Source organism: Homo sapiens, chromosome 5 (genome assembly GCF_000001405.40).
Source record: "Homo sapiens chromosome 5, GRCh38.p14 Primary Assembly".
Classification (NCBI taxonomy): Eukaryota; Metazoa; Chordata; class Mammalia; order Primates; family Hominidae; genus Homo; species Homo sapiens.
The window spans coordinates 150,231,938-150,251,202 of NC_000005.10; the positions used below are offsets into that span (position 1 = coordinate 150,231,938).

At 53.4% G+C, this 19,265-nt stretch overlaps 1 protein-coding gene across 5 annotated transcripts in view; it reads right to left on the reverse strand.

The window, feature by feature from the left end:
• Positions 1-19,265, reverse strand: part of CAMK2A (calcium/calmodulin dependent protein kinase II alpha) — a 70,640-nt gene that overhangs the window by 12,447 nt on the left and 38,928 nt on the right. For 3 of the 5 annotated variants that reach the window (NM_001363990.1, NM_171825.3, NM_001369025.2), the window contains 5 exons: positions 18,751-18,873; positions 18,289-18,372; positions 15,835-15,877; positions 13,224-13,264; positions 6,763-6,811 (listed from right to left, as the gene is read on the reverse strand). In NM_001363990.1, the coding sequence (NP_001350919.1) occupies positions 6,763-6,811; positions 13,224-13,264; positions 15,835-15,877; positions 18,289-18,372; positions 18,751-18,873 (340 nt within the window). Of the gene's footprint in view, positions 1-6,762; positions 6,812-7,766; positions 7,800-13,223; positions 13,265-15,834; positions 15,878-18,288; positions 18,373-18,750; positions 18,874-19,265 lie in introns of all 5 variants that reach the window. The other 2 variants (NM_001363989.1, NM_015981.4) reach the window with 1 other exon arrangement.

Sequence of the window (19,265 nt, forward strand, 5' to 3'; positions counted from 1 at the left end):
TTAGGCACAGAGCTGTCCAGAACTTTCTAGGCATAATGAATCCCATTTGCTGAGACCTGGCCCTCCCCTATCTGCCACTGAAACACCACAAACAGCTGGTCTTTCTGGTGGAGTTAGATGGCCGTCTTATTAGATGTGTGATGTTCTGAGCCTCAGTTTTCCCATCTGTAAAATGAGGACACCACCACCTCTCATTCATTCAAAGCCAAATACATAGTGAGCAGAATCCAAGCTTCAGCTTAGACAGATGTTTATTTAAATGACTGTCCAGGTCCTCAAGCTGTGCAACTGCGGGCCACAAGGTGGTTTGAAGGTCTGTGAAATGGAGATGATAGTGTTCTCCGAGGGTTGTTATGAGGGTGGGGTGATGTGATGTACACAAAGCATTGGCCAAAGCCTGGCACATAGTGGGTGCACCTCATAAGTGCAACCATGCCCTGCCTCCCTAGGCCCCTGCCAGGGGTTGCCTCTCTGCTCTTCACTAATACCCTGGGAGGTAGGCAAGGTCAGCTTCCTCCCAATTCACATACAAGGTGACTGAGCCTCAGTGATGGAGGAATTTGAAGCCAGGTGTCCTGGCTCCTGGCAGAGCCTAACAGAAGCCTTGCTCCGTCTCCCAGAGGCAGGCCCCTTTCCCTCCTTCCACAGGCTTAAGCTTGGCTTTAAACCTGGCCAGCTCATTGGTCCACTGGAGTTGTCTCAGGTGAATAGATGAACACATTGCCAGGATTGCAAGCTCAGGCCTGGCCTCAGCATTTCTCAGTCTGGAAGCCTGGGAGGGAGCCCAAGCCTAGCAGAGGCCCTCACCAGCCCTGTCCTCACCAGTTGCCCACACCACACCACCCCACACAGGAGCACACCTCAGGCCCAGAGGACACAGAATCATAGAACATCCAGGCTAGAAGAACCCTTGGAGGCCAGAGCCTCCTTATCAAACTTTAGGGAAACTGAGGCCCAGTGAGGGGGTTGTGATTTGCCCAAGGACATGGCACATACCAGGTGGAGAGCCTGGCTCCTCGCCCAGGGCCTTTTCCATAGGCCCCTGAGGCCCCAGCTCACTGTCTGTCCTAACACTAACCTCACGCAATTGTTTTGCCCGAATGCTTTATCTATGCCCCAGCTCATAGATGAGCTCTTGGGGGCTGGGCTGTGACATCCCTTGCTCACTGCGTCCTGGAGCCTGGAACAGGCTTGGCCCCATAAGCCTTTATCACTGAATGAATGAATAAGTGTACCAGGCCATGTGCTATGTGCTTAGTCTACCAAGTTCCAGAGCCTCACAGCACAACTTTATTTCCACGTCACAGATGAGCAAACTGAAGGTGAAAGAAGCTAAATAATTAGCTCCAGTGGAGCTGGGACCCTAATCAGAGTTTGCAGCCCTAAAGCCCATCACATTCTCCCACACTACACCCAGCACCGCCCCTGGCACATGGTAGATGTAGCAGTGATCATTCAACGTCAGCCACCACTGTGAACAGCTAATTCCCTTCTCCCTCCTGGCTCCAGTCAGAATCACCTGGGCTGGGAATGAGTCCATTTTTAGACCATGAGTGCCACCGGGTCACACAGGTGTTGCTGCACCTCTCTCTCTGGGGACTTTCCTGGGGCTGGGGCAGAGGCAGCACTCAATACATACGTGTTGAGTGAATGAATGAATGAGTGAATGGGACCAAACCAGAGTCTGGACTGCTATCTTCATCCTGCCCCTTGGACTTGCCCAAGTTGCCTGGTAGCCACTGTCCCTAGGAGACCCAGAACCTGGCTTCCTGATCACCTGTGCCCTCCTTCCCAGAAGCTGGAAACTGAGTTTGGGAAGAAGCCTAGCCCAGCCAGTCACCTCTTTTGTTTGTTTGTGTTTTTGTTTGTTTGTTTTTTGTTTTTCATTTTTTTGAGATGGGGTCTCTCTGCATTGTCCAGGCAGGAGTGCAGTGGTGTGATCACAGCTCACTGCAACCTCCCCCTCGTGGGTTCAAGCGATTCTCCTGCCTCAGCCTCCTGAGTAGCTGGGATTACAGGCATGCACCACCACGCCCAGCTAATTTTTGTATTTGTAGTGGAGATGAGGTTTCACCATGTTGGCCAGGCTGGTCACGAGCTCCTGGCCTCAGGTGATCTGCCCGCCTTGGCCTCAAAGTGCTGGGATTACAGGTGTGAGCCACTGTGCCCAGTCCAGAGCTACCTCTTTCTTGCCACTCCCACATGGAATCAGGGGTGACAACCAGAGCAAACCCACGTGCTCCTGATGTGAGACCTGAGTCACTCTCCTTGCCTTCTCTGCATGGACTTTAAGACCCTTCTGGCTCACCGTTCCAGGAGCCTGTGCTCAATGCCTGTTTCCTGAGGTCTGCTTCTCCCTGCCATCTCAGAGAGTCTAGCACAGTGGCTGAGGTCATGGATTCTGGAGCCAAAGTCCCTGGCTTTGGATTCTGGCTATGCCACTTACTTAATAGCTGTTCCCTTGGACAAGGGAACTTCCAGTGCCTCAGTTTCCCTATATGTATAATGAAGATACTAATAGTACTTACCTTGTAGAGTTGTTCTAAGGATTGAGTTAAGAATATGTCAATAGAAATAGCTAACATGTACATGGTCCTCACAGAGAGCCAGTTGCTGTTCCGAGTCCTTTAGATCAAAGCACTTATGTAAAGGATGCTGCATTATGTAAAGAAGTTAGCACAGTGCCTGGCTCTTGGGAAATGAGAGTGTGGTTATTATCATCTGGGAATCTCTGAATTGGAACTTCCTCCTGAGGACATCCTGGAGTCTCTAGTCAGGGCAGGGATATTTCCCAGCAGCCTGATATGAGGGGGTGTAGCTCTGGTTGGAACCCAGGGCTTGTGGCCTGCCCGGAAGCTGGCTGCAATGTTGGACTGCCCTGGCTATTTTCACTTCCTTCTCCTTTCAAGTTGAAATCTGTCCTTCCAAAACCCGCTAGATACAGTTCTTGTCTTCTTTCTGCCTTCTGGGGCCCCGAAGTGAACACCTGCTTCCCCAGCCTCTATGCCTAGTCTTCTCTTCTCAGAGCTGAAGGCCTCCAGGTTGTGGTACTGACTCAAGCTGGCCATTTAATCCTTGAGAGTCCTGGAGCTGTCTAGATACCTCTCTGAGTACGTGCACACAATATCAGGTGTGGCCTGAATAATGCAGAATATCATGTCTGGGGTAGCACTCTCTATCCCCTCCCCAATTCTGGATATTATACCTCTATTAATGTAGCCTGAGACAGTGCCTGACTTGGCTGTGTCTCCAGCTACTTGGGACACCAAGTTACCAACAATAAAGCCTAGTGGGCAGGAATCTCCCTAGCTTTGTTCTGTGGGACAGAAGATCTGGGGGCCTGGTGCTTCTTACATCTGGAAAGTCCACTCTGATTCTGGGCCTCTACTATGCCCTCAGCAGCCCCACTGCTGTGTTCATTCAGCAGCTGCTTAGTAGCAACCACTGGCCTTTCTCATCTGCCAGCTGTTCACCCAGACAATCCGGGAATGCTCCCCTACAGATGGGAAAGCCCAAACCCCAGAGAGGTTAAGACACTCTCTCAAGATCATACAGCATGCTAAGACTGAAACGGGATCAGCATTCCTGACTGATATTTCCCAGAATGTCTCTGCCCAAGGCAGAGGTAGCTCTTTAGTTGGAGAGGAAATTAATTTTTCAAGGAGCGAATCAGGAGGGATGGGGGAGTGGGAAGGAAGCAGAGCCCCAGGCAGCTCGGAGGGCAAGAGGCCTGTGCAGTGAGCCAGAGGGGCTTTGAAATATTAATGTCTCTTTCTCTCCTCAGGGGACGATGTTCCCTGGAGGATGACATTTCTAATTAACTTTAATGTCAGGTCAGAGTCCACCCCACCAGCTGTTATTCTCACTTAGTAAGAAGACTTAACAAATTAACACCAGAAAACGGTTCCCTGGAAATTTTCTCTGAGGCCGGGAGAGGCTGGGGGAGGCACAAGGACTCCTCTTTCCTGCCAAACACGGGGAGAAGCTCCTGGCTGACCGTTTCTTCCATCAGACGTGGCTTTTGGGGTTTTTTACATGTGGGGAAACTGAGGCAGGAAACAGGGTCCCAGTCCTACCATTAATAAGCCATATGTGCCCTTTCTCCTCCCTAGGCCTCAAATTTCCCTCTGGAAAGGGGGAAAATCTGGAAAGTGAGCCAAAATTCAAGACTTTGCAAATTACCCCATCCTGATCGCTCTAAAGCAGAGGATAATGACGGCAAATGTGAGACCTCAGGGATGCAGCCCAAAGCCATTACCCCAAGAGAAAAAACGTCCTTGATGGCTCCTAATTTACATTAATAGTGCATACAAATTTGGTATTGTATTCCAAATATTTCTCTCTCTAACATTTAAATTTGTCTTAAAATAATCTTTGAGTAAAATTGGTGCTCCAAGAAAATGTCACCTGGCTTCCTGTCATTCAACCACGAACTACAGTTTGAAAAAAGAAATTGAGATTGATTAAATAGCTTCTCTGGGCCAAACACTACATGTGCACTTCATATGCATCTTCTCATTTCATCTGCACAGCAATCCTCTGAGGTTGGTACTATTTTCATTACCTCTTTACTGTGAAGGAAACTGAAGCTCAGAGAGGTTGAGTAAGTTGTCTGAGGTCATTCAGCAAATGGACTCCAGTGGAGAAGACAGAGCCAGATTACCTCCACGGTCCCTGCCTGTTCTGAGGCCAGGATTATGTGGCTATATCTATCCAGTCTCCTCAACATCCCAGGGCCCAACTCTTATCACTGGGCAGCTAGCCTCAAATAAGGGGAACAGCTTAGAAGCACCATTTCTTGGCCTGCCACATGCCCCTGGGGTCATAATTCACAGGGCAGGGCTGGGAATGTGGTTAGAACACTGGACTTTTGTGAAACTAGAATGCTGACTTGACCCTACCAGGGAATTCTTCAAGATAGTGTATTTTCTCATTCGTTCATTCATTCATTTTTTTTAAGAGACAGGGTCTTGCTATGTTGCCCAGGCTGGAGTGTAGTGGCTATTCACAGACACCATCATAGGTCACTGCAGCCTTAAACTCCTGGCCTCAAGCGATCCTCCTGCCTCAGCCTCCTGAGTAGTTCAAGATAATGTATTTTTATAAGTTGTCCCTGGTGCCATCACAGAAGATGGATTTGCTCTAGGGCCAGGTTGTGGTGATAGAGTACCCACCACCGCCCAGGTTGGGAATGACCAGGAAGGGACACACACGGGGCGGGTCTCATCTTCCAGGCATCCTGGCAGCGTCAGGAGGCAGCCTTGGTATGTGGTGCGTCAAAACTGCCTTAAAGCCTGAATCACAATTTTACAAAAATGTTTCCTACGTAATACAATGCTCTTTTTCCCATCTCTGTTTTCTAAGGCAAAATATCTAAACTGGTACTGCTGAGTTCCCTCGAGGTCAACGGCCTTTTTTTATATTTCAGAGACCCCCCCCTGCCACTACCACCACCACCAGGCATCTCTGCTACACACCTGAGTGTGTGAACCACTGAGCTCCCTGTCCTGGGGAAGGAGGAGGTCTGGCTGCTAACACTTGGAGGATTTGGTGTCCCCAGGGCAGAAGTCAGCAATCCCTGCCCCTTCCTCCAAGCTCCAAGGGCACTTCCCACCACCGAGGCCTTCAGAGTGGCGGTTACCAGCCAAGCTCTAGAATCCGACTGCCTGAGTTCAAACCCTAGCCACATCCTTGTGAGCCACGGGACGACAGAGTACAGGCCAACATACCCGGCCTCTCTGTCCTCTGTTTCCTCAGCTGTAGAATGAGGTTCACAGCAGCACCTACTTCATGGGCTATAGTGACACTCCAGGAAGTCAGTCCAGATAAGGTGCTGAGACCGGGGCTAGCACACAGCAAGCATTCCATAAATGACGGCCCTTATTACTATTTTTGTTTTATCCTTACTCACAATCCAATCAATTACCTGATGCTTTGCTTCCCCCACCTGAGAGCTTTTGAGGACTGCTGGCCACTAGCTCCAGTGGCGCCGGCATCTTTGGTGGGTCTTAGGCAGTGTTTCCCATACTCCAGCCACTGGAGCTTTCTGGATTTTTGCTCTCCCTTCCTTTACAGTTATTACTGTTTTTAAAATCAATTCACTTTTCAAAAAAACTCAAAAACACTTACTTCAAAAGGAACATGTATACCATTACCAAACACTTATGACTTGAACATGTTAAATTTTTCTCTAATACACATATAATATATATCCTCTAACATAAGAAAACTGGCCAGGTGCAGTGGCTCATGCCTGTAATCCCAGCACTTTGGGAGGCCGAGGCAGGAGGATCACCTGGGGTCAGCAGTTGGAGACCAGCCTGGCCAACATGGTGAAACCCCATCTCTACTAAAAATACAAAAAATTAGCCAGGTGTGGTGGCAGGCATCTGTCATCCCAGCTACTTGGGAGGCTGAGGCAGGAGGATCGCTTGAACCTGGGAGGCAGAGGTTGCAGTGAGCCGAGATCGTGCCACTGCACTCCAGCCTGGACGACAGAGCGAGACGTCATCTCAAAAAAATAAAATAAAAATAAATAAAATAAGAAAACCTATCTACACACCAGCAGTAGTTCCAGTACCACCCCCGCCCTCCATGGGAATGATGCCTCCCAGTGTGCCCAGTTTATAAGGCACCAGAGCGAAGCTCTCTGTAGATGAGCAAGAAATGAGGTTGGCACGTGGGAGCTGTCAGGAAAAAGAGGTCTGCTCAGAGCTGGTTCCAGAAGTCTAAGGGGTCCCGACACTGAAGGCCCCTCCCTACCTTTGGTGTCTTCATCCTCGATGGTGGTGTTGGTGCTCTCTGAGGATTCCTGCCAAAGAGAATACAGGAGATGGTGAGGCCTGCCTGGGAGCGGGACGAGGCATGGCCAGGCCCTGGCTGCCTGGTGACGCGGCTGGTTTCTGTGAGCCTCACAGGCTCTGCCTTCCAGATGCTGTCCTGAAAACCCTGTCAGATTCTCCAGCCTCAAGACGGGGAGGGCCCAGCTGAGCAGGTGGCCAGGGGCCGGGTGGGGGAAAGGGATGGCTGCAAAGAGAACCCTGGCCTTTCTGGAAGGACTGAGGGGCGTCCTGGGTCCTTTCTGCTCGAGGGGGTGAAGAAGGGGTGTGGAGGAGCAGAGAGACACCATGGCGGCCGCAGAGTGGGGAGGAACATACACTGGCAGGGGAGGAAGAGAGAGAGAGGGAGGCCCAGTGTGAGAGATGGTGGGCTCTTCAGAGGGGAGAAAAACCACACGACTGAGTGAGACAGCGATGGAACCAGAAGAGGGAGGTGGGCCACCATGCCACCACTGGACCCTAGACAGAGGCAGGGCTGGTGGCTCCCCTGCCACCGGCGGGCCTGGTAGCCTTACACCAGCTCAAGAGGGGCCTCTGTGGCACCTACTACTTTGGCCAAACCAAGCCCCACCCTCGCCGCGATTGGCACAAACCAAGCCTGAGATGAATTCTAGAGCAGAGGGGCAGGGAGAAGCGAGAAGCCAAGGTCTGGACATAGGACTGGGTTCAGATCCACCTTCACACCCGAGGAGGATCTCAGGTCTGCTGTCAGCCTGCTGGTCTGGGCCGTGGAGTTGGAGGTGTCAACAGAAACACGCAAACAACACACACACACAACACACATATTGTCACACAAGGCACACGTACCAAGCACGCCCTGAGCACCCTCTCCCCGCCCCAGGTTCCCAGTGCAGCCTGCAGGAGGGAGGCAGGAGCAAGGGTTCGAGGCCCAGCATTTACCGGCGTTAGGAGACGGCAGACACTCACCATTAACTGAACGCTGGAACTGGACTTTCTTTTCTGGAAAAACAAGGAGAAGAGATGGGACAGGAAAAGACACAGCGTGAAAACGGCAGGGAGCAGAGGAACGACAGGGGAGGTTTGGGAGGAGGATGGGCCTCGGGGTCATCCTCTGTAGTCCTTTGTCGGCTTGGCATCGGGACAAGGAGTCAAGGAGTCAAGGCCACCAGCAACAGTTGACCTGGCGGGGCCAGTCCTCGTCCTGAAGCTCTGAGTCCTCATGCACACTGCCTGGGTCTAGCGATCTAACAGCCAAGCTCATGGCCAAGCCTCCCTGGGACCAGGGCTACCCACCCTGCCTAACTCTGATGGCAAAAGCCAATCCTGGCTCTGGAAGCCAGTCACTGGAGGCCTCCAGAATCCAATGCTCTTGAAGGACAAAGGGTGCTCAGGCCTGGAAGTGAGGCCCAATGTCTTCTCCTAGGCTCCCCGTGCATCTCGGCTAGGAGGACCTCATTCCCAATTGACTGTCACAGTCACTTGGGAAACTCGTTACAATAAACAGAATCAGGTCCCCTCTGAGGAGTTTGATAACTAGGTCTGGGGTGCGGCCTGAGCATCTCCATTTTAAACAATATCTGCAGGTGATGCCAAAGCAGGGCCAAGCATGGGAGCCAGTCCTCTAAGTAGCCTTTGCAATCCAGCTTGCATTCACAACCTCCTGGTGGCTGGCCTATTCCACCCCTTTATGCTGATGGAGAAACTGAGGCTCAGCCAGAAGTGGAGCTGAGTCTAGAACTTGAGTCTTTTGGCCCTGCCATTCAGCTTACACTAGCATTTTGGGGATTTGTAGCATCCCCTGTATTGGCTACGGTACCAAGAGAAGGAGAGGGGGACAAATGTAAATTACCTTCTCCTTCCCTCAGCTCTCCAAGCCAGGAGTCTTAAAGACTCCCATTCACAGAAGATGGTAGGTGAAGACAGACCCTTGCATTGCACAGATGAGAAACTGAGGCCCAGAGAGGTGCAGTGGCCTGCACAAGGCCTCGCGGCAAGCCACTAGCAGAGCTGAGGCTAGAACCCAGGCCCTGCGTTCAGGCTCTTTCCTCTGTCCAGGTCTCCAGGCACCCACAGTCAGACCCTCTCCAAAGGCTCATCCTATTCTAGATGCCCTTATACCAGAGAGGCCAGGAGGCCCCTCTCCCTGCTGGAAAGAAGGGACTCGAGGAGCCCACAGGGCAGGCCTTTGCCATGGGAGGCACTGGATATGCCTTGAGGGTCTCAGGTCTAATTCTGGGTTTCTGACTCCAAGATCCAGTGAGCTCCCCAAAATCCTGGGCCAGGCCCCCAGGTTATTCTCATCTTCCAATAGGACTTCTTCCCTCCTCCATCCAAGGGAGTGAAGGAGGCTGAGCTACAAAGTGATGGTTGGGCCAGGAGTGGCCTTTGAACTCAAGGCCCTGTGCCTTCCATCCGGGGCCTCCACAGAAGGGATGGGGTGGCTCACTGGACACTTCCAATGCCCGTGTGCTCACAGGGGCATAAATGCTCACAGACCCTGCATTTTCCCCAGCTGGGCTGGATGGTGTGGCTTCCACAGTCATCAGCCTGCAGTCAGCCCCTCATCTCCCCGATTCCCTTCCCCTCTCCTCCCTCCTCTCCTTCCTCTCCTCCTTCCTCTTTTCTTCCTCTCTTCCCCTGTCTCCTTCCCTCTCTCCTCCTTCCTCTTTTCTTCCTCTCTTCTCTTCCCCTCCCCTCCCCTCCTCTCTCTTTTACTCCGTTCCCTCGCCCTCCCCTCTCCTCCTTCTTCTCTTCCTTCCTCTCCTCTCCTCTCCTCCTCCCTCTTTTCTTCCACTCTTCTTTCCCCTCCTCTTCCCTCTCCTCTCCTCTGCCTCCTTCCTCTCTTCCTTCTTGTCCTCTTCCTCTCCTCTCTTCTCCTGTCCTCTCCTCTCCTCCCCTCTCCTCCTTCTTTTCTTCCTCTCTTCTCCTCTCCCTTCCTCTTCCCTCTCCTCAACTCCTCCTCCTTCCTCTCTTCCTTCTTTTCCTCTTTTCTCTCCTCTCCTCCCCTCCCCTCTCTTTTCTTCCTCTCTTCTCCTTTCCTCTTCCCTCTCCTCTCCTCCTCCTCTCTCTCTTCCTTCTTCCCCTCTTTCCTCCACTCCCCTCCCCTCTCCCCTGGTTGTCCTCCCTCCCTGGCTGGAGCCAGGCCAGGCACAGAATGGGGAAGGGGCCAGGCCCCACACAGCTCAGCTGTCAGCAGAAACCCGAGGAGCCGCGCAGGGGCCAGGAGGTTCCAGGCGGGACACGAGGAGGAAACACAGAGCAGAGACTGCATCAGATTCGGACGCACAGTGACAGGATGGGACATGGGGAGAGAGGTCACGATGCACAATGGGACACCAACAGGGGCAGTGAGTGGGGCTGAGGGGAATGAGCAGTCGGCCCTCCTCCTAGAAGTCCAGGCCTGGGGTGGCCGGGAGGGGGACGTTGCTTCTTGGTGATAGAAAGACTTAACTTCCCTGGATCACAAACGATGATGCTAATAATCTTGTATTGACCAGTACTTTAGTTTGATTTAAAGGGACTTTCACTGAAAGTAGAAATCTCCCTCTTTCACCAAAAGTAGAAACCGCATCTCTTAGAATCACATGTGGAAGCATGGTTCTAAGGTTAGCAAGGATGATAGAAACAGTATGGTCAAAATTAGCCTCGAAAAGCCCTCCAAGGCCCATAAAGGATAATATAGCTTCACATCTCTGCCATTCCTGCAGCGCTGAAGCCAATCACTGCCTCTTCAGTTAAGCCCCGGATGAAATGGGGTTTGTCTCCAGCTGCCCAGCGGTAGGAGGAATGTGTGCCTCCCTGCTGGGCTGAAGGTGAGACAGTGAAAGGAGCCTGTGATGTGGCTCCACCAGGCCCTTCTGGTGTGACCCTCTCACCAGGCCCCTGCAAAGAACTGCTGTGCTCCCCTGGAACAGGCAACAGAATCGCTGGCCTGGGTCACCCAGGGGGAGAACAGTAGGGCCCACACTCGAACCCATGGCTTCTTGACTTGCGATCCAGTTTCAATCGTACTGAAAATGCACCTGGACCCCCAGCTCCGCCATTCTCCCCACACTCCTTCCGGGAGCAAGACATGGCAGGCCAGGCTCCCCAGATCCTGGGCCAGGCCCCCAGGTTATTCTTATCTTCCAATAGGACTTCTTCTGTCCTCCATCCAAGGGAGTGAAGGAGGATGAGCTACAAAGAGATGGTTGGGCCAGGAGTTGCCTTTGAGCTCCTCTTCTTCCACACCCAGGCCACCCTGAGAAGTCTGTCCTGCGCCACAGGAAGCAGTGACGCTTTGTTCAGCTGTGCCCACTGGAAAGCCTGCAGTGGCCAGCAGAGCCCCACCATGCTGTGAGCTGTCCTTGCCATCTGGCAGCTTCTGCCTCCTGGCCTTGCCCTAAAAGAGCTAATAAGCATTTCTTCCCAAGAACCAGCCTGATGGAGGCCTCTCCTGACCCCTTGCCCAGCCTCTACCAGGGCTACATCCAAGAGCCAAGCAGACCAGGGCAGCTTCTCTCTCTACTTCCTTCTCCTCTAGTTACCTGGGCCACAACCCACCGGTGTCTCTGGTCTCTATCCCCACATCCCCCAAATCGGAACCAGGAAGTCTGCTTTCCCCAGGGCGCCCAGCACCCCTAGCTCAGCGTCTCCACACAGGGGTCAGAGAGGGCCCCAGCTACTCCAAAGCTGGCAGCTCCCACATTGCACATCCCTCTATTACCCCTACACATAGAGGGATGGCGGGTTGGCTCAGGGTTAACCCAAAACAGCAGGCAAGCCAAAATTCAATGCCCGATTCCATTACAGGATTTGGAATGAGTGCCTGTTAACTTTATAAATTAAGTTGGCTTTAGATCTGTGGTTTTCAAATATTCTTGAGAAAACTTGGTTTTCAAGAGAAATTTTACCCAAAAGTCTAATACATAAAATAGAGGAAAGATAATAGTGCCTAGCATCTCATGAGTGTGTATTACATACCAGCACCTTGCTAAGCTCTCAGGGCGCATTGTATTAGTTAATCCTCACCAATAGGCTTAGGAGGTGGAGATCTCTTTTAACCTCATTGCATGAATGAAGAAGCGCAGGCTCAGGGAATATAAATACCCAGCCGAGGTCCAGCTGCAGGCAAGCCCAAGGGCTCTCTTCACCATGATCATGCTCTGGTTGAAGTGGGTATGAGAAGCCCAGAACCATTTAACCTGGCATCCCCCTTCCACATCCCACAGCACCCCATCCGCTGCCAGAGGTGCCTCCCCAGTCCAGTACCTTTGGGATCTAAAGAGTTCAATTTGAAAACCACTGTCTTGGACTAATAACCAAATAATTATGTATTCCTCTAGCACCCAAGATGAGAAGGGAGAATGATTAGATAGGATTTTATTGCTTTTTTTGTTTGTTTTTAAAGCTGCAATCTTGGAAATGATCATCAAATCCACACCCCACTCGTTGTACTTAGGGGAAAATTCAAGCTGGGAGGAGAAGGCTAAGTACAGAGGGGAGACCCAATCCTGGCCTTGGACATCTAGCCCAGACTCCCTCGCATGCAACCTTGACAGACCAAAACCAGCGGCCAGAGACCATAAATGCCTCCTTAGACAAAGCCATCAAGCCACCAGCACATCTGGCTGTATTCATACAGCATCCCACACCTTCCAATGTCCTGGGCACATCCCAGCCCTGGGGCCCTCGCCAGGCAGGGCTCTGAGCCCAGAAAAAGGCAGGGTCTCAAGAGAGGATAAGATCGAGTGGCAGAGGAGGAGGGAACTGCAGAGAGCAGGGGACCAGGCCCCAGAGAGCAGAGGGAGAAGAGAGAAGAGACGGGAAGGAGGACCGCAGGATGTGGAGGGACCACAGGGTAACTCGGGCTCTAGGGGTGGGACAGGGCAGGCCCTTGGAGCCGGGAGGGGATTTTGGAACTGAACCAGCACCAGCAAGCCTTGCCGGGAGGGGGCACCTTGGAACCCAAAGCCAAGAGGAATGGCTGTCCATCCTCCACGAGCTTTCTGGGTGGAACTAAGGTGTACAGCGGGGCAGGGGCCCGATCCAGCCCACACATAGGCAGGACGGAGGTCACCCCTCATGACCATTTCTGTCCTCTCCTTGCACCCTCTCTTGCACACCAGCTCTCCAGCCTCGGAGAACCACAGAAATCTCCTTCTGACCTGCCCCTTTCCTTGCGCCTGCCCCCACCCCAGCACACCTGTCACTTCCACCCTCCTCCAGTCCCCCCTCTCCCATCTGCCCCCCAACAGTCACGGCGCAACGGTGGGCACCAAAGCCTAGGTCGTGGGTCTGGAGACAGCCTGGCCACAAATGTGGCCCACGTCTGCCCAGGACACCATCAGCAAGGCCCGGGTCTTGCTCCAGGCCTGAAAGCCGGTCTCTGTTGGCAGAAACGCTGCCAGAGCCAAGCCCTGCCAGGCTCCTGGAGGGGCTTACCTTCACACCATCGCTCTTCTTGTTTCCCCCACTCTTCCCTCCTGTGGAGGAGAAAAAGTAGAGGGTTAACAACGCCAGGCAGGGCACCAGGGCCCACAGGGCGAGGACGAGCAGCATCCACACGCAGCCGGAGGGCAGACTGCAGGGAGCAGAGCTGGCCCAGCGATCCTGGGGGAGGCCTCCTCCTCCTCCTCCTCCTCCTCCTCCTCCTCCTCCCTCCTTGGAGGCCCAGGGACTGCCTGGGTTCCCCGCCTTCTCAGCAATCTCAAGCGTAACCCTCTGGCTTCATGGGTTGAGGGAGGTGTCCAACATGTCCCAGGACTGTGGGCTGCTGTTTCAGCCCGGGGATTCCCTCTGAATCCCTGTCACCACCGTGCTGGCGGTGGCCAACCCGAGGTCTGGCTGCCTGGCCCCAGGCTGGACACGCCCTCCCCACCCTGGCCCTCTCTAATTTTAGCCCCATGCTGCTGCGGAGGTCATGTGTCAGCCCTGCCTACTCACTCCGGACAGCTGCAGGCTGCGTCTTGCCAGTGACAAGAAGCAGATGCCCCCACTGGGGCCCACCCTGCCAGAGCACCCATCCCCTGCCTCTCTCCTCAGGCCATATAGGCCTCCCCAACCTCAGACTCCAGAGCCCCATATTGGCACTGGCTATGGCCCGGGTGGCAGGGACAACCAGAGCAACAGCTCTTTGGGGGCTTCCCCTGCTGTCATTTCCCCTTACCTCCCTCCTCACCTCCTGGCCAGAGCCCTGGAAGTGGGCATCAGCCAGGAAATGGCCTGAATGTCCAGCCCTGCCCACAGGCATCCGGCTGCTTCAGACTTAAGCAAATACCTTAAATGAAACAAGGTATCTGTGAAGTACTTAGCAAAGCACCTGACCCATAAGCCGCACATGCTCAGGAAATGGTAGCCATGATAAGACTTCTCCTGGTGGCCTTGAGAGGGGGAGTTGGGAGGAGGGTCATATGAGCCACTGATGCCCCAGGGGCTCTGAGGCATGGGGCTCATGGCAGGTCACCTTCCCAGTCACCCCCACATTTCCACCTATGACCCCTTCGAGGCTCTCATTCCAAGTTCCCTACTTGCAAACCAAGGCAGGGGCCACCTCTGGATCCCGAAGCTGACAGGAATGGCTGTCCATTCACCACAGGCTTTGGAGGGTTGGACTAGGATGTGCAGTGGGGCAGGGGGAGTGCTTTCTCCTCGAGCCTCAAGGTAGACGCCCCTCTCAGCTCCAGCCTACTGTCACAGGATCGTGGGTCCAGTGAGGCCACAGCGTCTAATTTTCAAGAGACGACAGCAATCTGGGGTTTTCTATGAAATTTCCTAATTTTTAAGTGTTAGAAACTCATTCAAAAAAATTTTTAAAACACCCCTACCTCCACAAAGCATATCAAGAGATTCAATCCAGCTCACAGGCCGCCATTTTGTGAGCTCAGGACTAGAGTTCTTTAGGGTGCTTCAGTTGTTAAAAAAAGACTCTGACTATCTGGGTAGCTCATCTTTCAGTTTACGGAATGGCAGGATCCTTGTCCAGGGAGAGGGTGGGAAGGCAGTTTAACGAGGTAGGAAAAGCCCAGTCAGAAGTTCTAGTATCTGCCCACCTCTGGGTCTCACTCCTCCCAACTGGTTACATGGGCAGGTGGACCCACTCAATGCAGCCAGCTGCCCCCTTCTCAGAGCTGCCCTCTTGCTGTGGTGCTGGCCACAAATCTGCAGCAGCTTTCTCGGCTGGCCCCAGCCCCAGTCAGAGGGCCCCTCGGGTGAGCTTTGCTCTATCTGCTATCTATATCTCCTCTACTGCCTGCCAGCGGCCTGCGCTCCCCAGAAGGAAGCCTCTGGAGGGCACTGGCCCCAGCCCTCTCTGATGTGCCAAGAGGAGCTTCTTGCTAAACCCTGACAATAATCCCTTCCCCTTCTCTCTGCAAAGCCACATGCCTCAGGTGATTGGGCACTCCCTGCCTTAACCAGCCCAGTTTGGCCAAGGGCCTGGGACGCTCCTGCCCTGGACTCACTGGTGACCCAATCCAGTTAAAGGCACTTGCCCTGGGTTTGGTCAAACCTGTGCTGAATGCAGGCTCTGCCTCTCTAGCCATGTGACCTGGGACAAGTCAGAGCTCACCTTCCTGAGCTTCTGCTTCCTCATCCCAGAAATAGGGATGGCAGCACCCCCATCATCCCCTCTGCTGCCTTGTCATGTAGGCCACCTGAGTGGAAGCACGGGACTGCTTAGCACAGGGCTCCAATCATGGTGGGCAATATTGTTACTCCCTGGACCTGGCTCCACCCCATCTAGAACTCAATCCCCTGCAATCAGAAGCCTTCCCCTCTAGGCGGCCCAGCCTGAGAACCCCAGCACTGCTGTAGGAGTGGGCAGCCAGACTAAATCTGTAACCAGTCCTGGTGGGCCCTGGGCTTGCTGACTTTTGACCTCTCTTCACTTCTGGGTACAGGCCGTGGCAGGTGAGCTAAGCCCTTAGTCACAGAGTCCTCTACAACTCCCTCTCCCCAGGCCCAGTGGCCTGGGGGCACTCCAATATCTGACAGGACGGTGCCCCCAACGAACTGGTGCAGGGCTTACTGGGGACCCTGAGGTCCTGCCACCTACCGGAGAAGTTCCTGGTGGCCAGCATCGTGGTGAGAATGGCTCCCTGCAAGACATAAGAAGAGGGCAGTGGGAGAGGAGGCCGGAGTGAAGGGACCCAGGAGGGACAGAGAGACGGGAGGGCCACGGGGAAGGAGAGGCAGGTGCTGCATTCAGAGAAGAAGCCAAAGCCTCTGCCCTGCCCCTCCATTTGTCCCAACCCCAACCCCAGCCCAGAGCCCATCCCTCGCCCCCTGGAGAAGTCGGGGTGAGCTAGGCTTTAGCCAGTACAGCTCCTGGGACAAGGCCGTCCTAGGGGCAGATATTAATGGGCCCCTTGGCCCGCCCAAGCTGAAGAGCTTGAGGGACACCTACCAGCAGAGGCTCCTGAAGATGATGGACTTTTCTTGCTTGGGCAACAACAGCAGACCTCGTGTCCCCCAACCCCTCCACCTCTTAGCCCTCTGCCCCGTGCTGAGAGCATCTTGCTCCAGGACTAGCTCATCCCTCCATGGCCCCTGGGCTCAGAGAATCCCAGGAGGATTTTCTCTTTTTTTTTTTTATTTCCAAGTTTTTTATTTTATATATATATATATATTATATAATACTTTAAGTTCTAGGGTACATGTGCACAACGTGCAGGTTTGTTACATATGTATACATGTGCCACGTTGGTGTGCTGCACCCATTAACTCGTCATTTACATTAGGTATATCTCCTAATGCTATCCCTCCCCCCTCCCCCCACCCCACAACAGGCCCCGGTGTGTGATGTTCCCCTTCCTGTGTCCAAGTGTTCTCATTGTTCAATTCCCATCCATGAGTGAGAACATGCGCTGTTTGTTTTTTTGTCCTTGCGATAGTTTGCTGAGAATGATGGTTTCCAGCTTCATCCATGTCCCTACAAAGGACAGGAACTCATCATTTTTTATGGCTGCATAGTATTCCACGGTGTATATGTGCCACATTTTCTTAATCCAGTCGATCATTGTTGGACATTTGGGTTGGTTCCAAGTCTTTGCTATTGTGAGTAGTGCCGCAATAAATATATGTGTGCATGTGTCTTTATAGCACCATGATTTATAATCTTTTGAATCCCAGGAGGATTCTCAATGTAGAGAAAGCCTCCTCCATCAACAAGCAGGCTGGGGGCTAATGGCCCCTTTTGTTCCAGAGCCATCTGATTCAGACCTGACTTGACACTGTCTGAATCCCACTGCTTATGATGTTAAGAATCCCTGATTCTGATATTTTGAGACTTCCTCTGTGACACAGCTTCCACTGCAGGATGGGGATGGGACTCAGTTCTCCTGGCATCATGCTGGCCACCACCCCTTGGTCTGTGTCCCCATCCTAAGCCTCCACTCCAGGCCTGGGAGCAGCAGATAAGGAGGTTCCACAAGAGCTGGGGCCTCCGCCTCTTCCCTCATCATCCCCAGCGTGCTGACGGCTCCTCTGTTCCACTGGCCAGGGGCCCCTCAGTGCCTGGCAAAGGCCAGGCCAGGAGCTGTCACCACCCTGAGAGCACACAGAACCTGCAAGAGTGTGAAGCTCTGGGACCACCTGGGTGCCACTGAGCTTCCTCAGGGCCACAATCACTGTCTGAGTGCCTCAGCCATTCCTCCACAGTACTGGGCAGCTGGGGCGCCTCCCTGACCAGGGTCTCACGTTCAGTCATGTCTCACCCCCAAAAGCTCTCCCCAGCCACTCTGAACCACTTGTGGTGCCCCTAAGGGGTCAGGCGCACTTCCAAACTTCTGCACAGGCTGCTTCCTCTGTCTGGAACACGTTCCCATTCTTTTTTTTGTTTTTTTTTTTTTGAGACAGAGTCTCTCTCTGTTACTCAGGCTGGAGTGCAATGGCACGATCTCACTCACTGCAACCTCCGCCTCCCAGGTTCAAGCAATTTTCCTGCCTCAGCCTCCTGAGTAGCTGGGATTACAGGTATGTGCCACCATGCCTGGCTAATTTTTGTATTTTTGGTAGAGACAGGGTTTCACCTCATTGGCCAGGCTGGTCTTGAACTTCTGACCTCAGGTGATCTGCCCACCTCAGCCTCCCAAAGTGTTGGGATTACAGGCATGAGTCACTGCGCCCGGCCACACTTTCCCATTCTGACTCTAACTTGGCTAATACCTGCTTATCCTCCAAGGTCTCAGCTTAAACGCCCCTGGCTCCAGACCCAGAATACCATTGTCCTGCTGCATTCTGCCACCATCTTGAGGCTTTCCCAGGCATGGCACTCACCACTGCCCCATAACGCCCCAGGAACTTGTCTGTCCTCTCCACTAGAGCAAGGGCTCAGTCATTCACCGCTCACTCCCCAAGCCCAACCTGCTGTCCAGTATGCAGTAGGTGTTCAATAAATGCTTATTGAATCAATGAAGGAAAGAATTAGTGAGCGAGTCTCCTGGCCTCTGTGGAGACCCAGGCAGAGCTAGTCCCATGGCCAGGACTGTGGAGGGTGAGGACCTGTTACCTTCAGTTTCCTCCTGGCATTGAACTTCTTCAGGCAGTCCACGGTCTCCTGTCTGTGCATGCAGGATGCCACGGTGGAGCGGTGCTGGAGGAAGTAGGGGAGAGGGCTGTGAGTGGAAGGCAGGCTGGAAGACAGGCCCACCCAAGGGTACCCTTCAGCAGGGCATCTTAATGGAGGTGTGGTTGACATCTTGGGAAGAACGATTCATTGCTCTAGGAGATGCTTCAGGGTGTTTAGCATCCTGGCACCAGACATTCAATGCCAGTAGCACCATCAGTTGTATGCCAACCCAGAACACTCACTCCTCGTTTCCACATTACCCCTGAGAACCACAGCAGGGGCAGTCTCTTGGATTAAGCCCTCTTGGCCCCATGGGCCAGGGGAAGGGCCAGAACTCTGTGGGGGCCTGGATCATGAGGTCTGGAGGGGCTCCTGGGAGAAGTCCTGCTGAGGAAGGCTCACCGAGATCCAGGGGTGCTTAAGGGCTTCGGCAGCTGTGATGCGTTTGGATGGGTTAATGGTCAGCATCTTATTGATCAGATCCTTGGCTTCCGGGGTGACAGTGTCCCATTCCGGCGATGGGAACTGGAAGGGGCAGAGAGGCCAGGTTTGCCCAGCCTGCCCCAGGCCACCCCTGCGATCCCCCAGCCCCTGACTGGCAGGGGAGCAGGCAGGGGTCCTACTGCCCATCCACTCGGACATCCACACCAGGAGGAGTTGGGGCTCCTCACTGCAGGGGAGGGCCCTAGCCCCATACAAATCAGAACACGGCAGAGGGAAAGGAGGCCTCCCTCCAACCATCTTTCTGAGACTGTGCCTTATTTGCAGAGCAGCCGGTCAGTGGCTTTAGCCCAGACTTCAGAATCAAAAGGCCTGGATTCAAGTCCTGGCTCTGCCTCCTGGGCTGTGTAACCTGGGTAAGTCACATGACCTCTTGAGCTATCTCTAGAGATGTTGTGAGAATTAAATACAATATA